This window comes from Homo sapiens, chromosome 20 (assembly GCF_000001405.40).
Source record: "Homo sapiens chromosome 20, GRCh38.p14 Primary Assembly".
Lineage (NCBI taxonomy): Eukaryota > Metazoa > Chordata > Mammalia > Primates > Hominidae > Homo > Homo sapiens.
Window position 1 is genome coordinate 60,572,506 of NC_000020.11, and position 6,000 is coordinate 60,578,505.

Sequence of the window (6,000 nt, forward strand, 5' to 3'; positions counted from 1 at the left end):
ATCCTTCTGAAGAGTGATTCGACCAAATGTATAAAAATTAAACATGTACAAACTCTGTGACCAAGGAATTCTACTTTTGGTGTCTAAGTTACAGCAATGACAACTAGGCAGACAAATATGTATAAACAAAAGATTCTTTTCAGTATTGTTTGTTTATAAAAGGAAATCACCATACATGCCTTTCAATAAGACACTACTAAATAAGTTATGATACATCCATAGAACATAATTCTATGTAGCCTTTAAGAAGAAGAATCTTTATGGATTGACATGTAAAATTTTCTAAGATACAGTCTTAAGTGATAGAACAAAATTACTATCCAACATATATAGCAGGTCTGTACAGCATTTTAAACAAATAATAGACTAGATGGCATAAACCTAAGAAGAAATCTAAAAAGTAAATTATAGATCAAACATAAACTGAGTTATGAAAAAATGTAAATTATATCTTTTGGGGGATGGGCATGAAAGGAAATGGTTGTTACTTATTTCTTAACATATTTTAAGGCTGGCATTATGTGTTTTGATTTTTTGTGTTCATAAGAAATTTAAATAAATGCAACAAACTTATTTAAAAATGGTTTTGAATGTGTGAGAGCTCTCTTGGTAAGTAACCAATCAAGTCAATAAATGAAGGATAGCCAAGTCCATCTGACTCAACCCCCTTTCTCATTTGGGCTGTGTTCCCAGGCTTGCCACTTAATTGGCTACTAGCTGGAATTGATTAGCAAATGTACCAGTATAAATGGAAGCCTCAGGAAAAGGGATTGTCAAGTTCATATAATTTATATGAAGTATCATTTTCTTAAATTTCAACATTCTCAGGAGCTTCCAGTAATATAATTCTAATAAGCAGGACTGATTGACTTTCCAAAAATATGGACAAAGTCAACAAAATTACGTCCTTGCCTCAGAATGATTTCTGTAGCTGTTAGCTAAATGGCTGCCAAAAAGTTATAATGAAATGTTGAAGGCCTGCTTCCATGGAGATGAAAATAATGACTCTAGCTCTTTGGAACTAGGAACGGAAGTGGTGTTTTGTTTTACTTTGTAGAATCAATTCCATTTGATGTCCATGAATGAGGCGTCCGTCTCACTTTTACTGTGTTGACTTTTAAGGATCTCATTTTAAAACATCATATCAGTAAGTAAAATTGTAATTATAAGAAAAATGATGAAATCATAGAATTAAAAAGTAAGCTCTATTTAAAAAAATTAATCTACTACTTTAAAATAAAAACTTGCATTGACCTGACAACTTGGTTAATGAGGGATTTGCCAAATTGTTTAGTTTTATCGCTTGCCAAGTGTGTAATTACTTTGCTTGGCACTTTTTAAAAATGTTATTATAAACTCTTCTTCCAAAGAAAATTATGCAACATAATTATTAACTCTAAAATTACACACACATTTATCTGCTAGTATTTGCTTTCATGCTTCAGCTGTCATTTAGACATCGGCTGCTTGAATCATGCACCTGTTCACAATGATGTTTTCAATGTGTTTCTACTAATTTCCCATTATATGGTAGAAAGCCAAACACTGGGAAAGATAAAGTAACAAAAACTGGGCTTTAATAGGAAATCACTTCTCACAAAATTGGAGACCGTGATCACATTCACATGGAAGGGGCCTTTTGGATCTGCATCCATCTAGGTCGTGCTACTCACGGCCTGTGCGATACATTTTCATCCATGGTGAATATTTCAACCAGAACCACACTTCAAACCTGGACACACAACGGCAAGCTGGCCTACATGCAGGTAGATTTTGTTCTTGCCTTCTCTTGGATGTTGTCTTTGAAAAGGGCAAAAAGAATACCTTTTGTTTAATAGACAGAAGGAAGATGTCCATGGGAAAAAGCTTCATGAAAATGAAAACCTGTATTTAAAGGTGGTCTTGACTCAGATTTCCTGCTTTGATTTCCTTCCATCTAATGCATCTGCTGTCTGCTAACCAGGAAGCTCCCAGAGCTAGGCCTCACGACTGCCCAGCCTCCACACCTGCACAATACTCTGCTCCGAAGATGCCCGTCAGCTATTCATAAGTCGGCTGAATTACTGTATTCTCTTTTCACTTCAGCTCATCAGTGAAACAGAATGGAGGGACTCTATGGGCTGAACTGTGTTCCCCCAAATTCATATGTTGAAGTCCTAACCCCTAGTCCCTCAGAGTGTGGCTGTAGTTGCAGAAAGGACCTTGAAGGAGGTGATAAGGGTTAAATGAGGTCATTAGGTTAGGCCCTATTCCAATTATCACTGGTGTTCTTGTAAGAAGAGCAGATTAGAACAGAAACATATACAGAGAAAAGACCATGTGATGACATAGGGAAGAGACGGTCTCTGCAAGCCAAGGAGCAAGGCTTCAGAGGCACCTGCCCTGGAGATACCTTGATCTCAGCTTTCAAGCTCCAGAACTACGAAAAATTAAATCTCTATTGTTTAAGCCCCCCAGTCAATGGCTCTTTGTTATGGTAGCCCTAGAAAATGAATACTTTGCTCTACTTTATAGAGACCTCTTTATGAGAAGCTGTGGGATAAGTTGAACTAACTCCATGGAACCATCACTCAGAATTCCAAGACAGAAGAGAATGGATTTAACTGTGGCAGCATGGTGGAAATCATCCATAAAGCAGTGCCAGCTCCCAAACTCCTGGAGATTCTGGTTGCCTGGATGACCATCCCCAAGGAAAATGGGAAATGCATAGCCCATGGATCAGGGTGATATGGTTTGGCTCTGTGTCCCCACCCAAATCTCATGTCAAATTGACTCCCAATGTTGAGGAGGGACCTAGTAGGAGGTGACTGGACCATGGGGGTGGATTTCCTTTTGCTGTACTCACAATAGTGAGCTCTCATGAGTACTAGTTGTTTAAAAGTATGTAGCACATCCCCCCTTTGCTGTCTCTCTCCTGCTTTGCCATGTGAAATTTGTGCCTGCTTCCCCTTTGCCTTCTGCCATGATTGTAAGTTTCCAGAGGCCTCACAGCCATGCTTGCTGTATAGCCTGCGGAACTGTGAGTCAACTCAGCCTCTTTTCTTTATAAATTACCCAGTCTCAGGTAGTTTTTTATAGCAGTGTGAGAACAAACTAACACATGGGGCAACCACAGCTTTTTTTGTAAGAGAATGTGCTCACCTGGACAACTTAGACAGCTTTGTGGTCATATACTGATCCCTCTCCATGGATCAAACCTCTCAAAATGTCAAACTTCCCAAAATGTCAGATTAAAGATCTGCTGAAATTTTCTGGAAATTTTATAATTATTGGGCACAAAAGAATTCTAAAAATGCACAAATCTATGCACATTGGTCTTGGCCTCCCAAGACTTGAGAAGCAACCGTTATCTTCTTCTAAAGTATCAAGCTCCAGATGTTGGATTAGTTGCCCTCCTTTTGCAGAAGTGTGATGGGAGGTCAAACTCCAGCCCCAGGAGTGTTCCATGTCGACTGATCATCTGAGGCTGAACAGGAAAGTATTTGCACTGAAACAGGTTTTACTGAATCTTTAGATATTGAACGAGGATGTATATCACTCAAACAAAATAAAAAAAGCAAACAGTATTAGAATTCTTGAGGCACAGTGCTGAGTTATTTTTACTTTTACGGAACCTACACTTCCTAAATTGATTGCTTCGTTTGCCTCTGATTTAGCAGTAGAGATTCATATTTACTTCTCTGGGGGAAAAGGACACAAAGAGGCTTTGAAAACATAACCTTTTCTTTCCTGTGACAAGTGCGAGTTTATCAATACAGACCCACTGTGACCAGGCTCTCTTGTGTTTTCTAAGATATTATTTTGCTTTTTTGCTGTATGCCTCCACAGATAATCCAATGAAAATCACATGCAAATCTGCATGGTGCATTCTTAGAAAACATTTTTAGGTCCCATTTGAAGAAAGAGAGAGACATATTTTCACTTTTACACCTTCTGTTCCCAAATGAAAACATTGACTTGAAAGCCAGCCTTGCAAACAGCTTTCCACTTAAACAATAAAAATGCACAGAAATCCTTCCAGTGCTACCAGAAGTTATGTATCCGCTATGTAGTTCAGGTGTTTGTAGCCATATAGGATATATGAAAATACATAAAATAAAATCAAAGAACTATATTACTTTTCATATTCAAACTGATGTAGTAAATAAAAATATCAAGATTTTCTATTAAAATATTCCCTTAGCACTTACAGAAAAACCAAATTAGCGACAAAGAAAAAGATAATTCTGCTTATTTGCCGTTAGGTAATGAAAGCAGACTGATGTAAGAAAATCATACATCTCTCTACGTTGTATTCACAAGGGGGACCTGCATTTTTCCAGAAAGAAGTCACCCTTTTAACTGTAGGCAAATGTTAACAGTGACAGTACTGGTTCATAGGAATAGTGGAATATTCAAATAGCGAGTCTTAGGGCCTCATCATTGGAGATCTGAGAGTGACTACAAACTATAAACCATGAGTGTGCATTTCACTTTGCCAAATATGTTATTTTTTTAGAGATTAACTGGAAAAAAAGATAAAGTCAGGCACATATTAATTTCTGAATTCAAATAAAGTGGTATAACACTATACCTGGAACAACCTCATTTTAATTTCCACTTGGTTAGACAACATGCTCTTAGACTTGCACCTTACAGTTCTCTTTTATTATAGCTCAAATCTCACGATGAGCAGAGAGATCATGCTGCTCATCAGATAGAGCTGCTCTAATATCATCCCAGCTCTGGAGATGTCTCGCATTAACACTTCACAAGACTCATCAGTTTCTGCTATCTAGTTCAACTCAGGAACAAAAAGATATACCATTTCTTTTAGTTCATATTTAATAAATTTACTGTAAAACTCACTGTCTAAAAGAATGCAGAAATTATATCATGTGCTTATAATTCCTGGAAAACTTTTTTTTAAAATCAGCATCATATACTTCAAGTTACAGATGGAGAATAAATGGAGTCTGGGATGCGACAGGAGCATTTGCAGCTGCTTTTTCTCAAAAGCAACATTTTCTGAAATTTTTCTGATTTTCTAAATTGTTGTGATCACACAGTTTTCAGGTAAGACAACAAACCTTCCTTTTCACTAATAACTTTTCCTTTAGGAGAAACAATTCTGGGGATATATTATCCCATTGTTGCCAGAAAGGGGTCCCAATCCAGACCCCAAGAGAGGGTTTTCGGATCTCGCACAAGAAAGAATTCAAGGCAAATCCATGCAGCCTTGTGAAGGCAAGTTTATTAAGAAACTTAATAAACTAAGTTGAAAGCAAGTTTTTTAAGAAAGTAAAGGAATAAAAGAATAGGTACTCCATAGACAGAGCAGCAGCATGGGCTGTTCAGCTGCTTATACTTATTGTTACTTCTTGATTATATGCTGAACAAGGGGCAGATTATTCATGAGTTTTCCAGAAAAGGGGTGGGCAAGTCCTGGAACCCGAGGATTCTTCCCCTTTCTGGACCATACAGGGTAACTTCCTGATGTTGCCATGGCATTTGGAAACTGTTATGGCACTGGTGGGAGTGTCTTTGAGCAGCTAATGCATTATAATTAGCATATAATGAACAGTGAAGAAGACTATAGGTCACTTTCATTTCCTTCTTGGTTTTGGTCGGTTTCTTTACTGAAACCTTTTTTATCAGCAAGGTCTTTGTGACCTGTATCCTGTGCTGACCTCCTATCTCATCCTGTGACTTAGAATGCCTAACCTCCTTGGAACACATCCCAGTAGGGCTCAGCCTTATTTTACCCAGCCCCTAATCAAGATGGAGTCGCTCATGTTTAAATACCTCTGACACGAAGAGAAATTACCACAGTGAAGTTCCATGGTATCAGAGAGGGGTGTGAGAATGAGAAAAATCTCATCAAGATGGTGCCCAAGTCCCTGGGATGGAGAGGAGTACTTTAACCTATCGACAAAAGAACCAAACTCTGTAAAATAGTAAAGAGATTTATTCTGAGCCAAATATGAGTGACCAAAGCCCATGATGCAGCCCCAGGAGCCT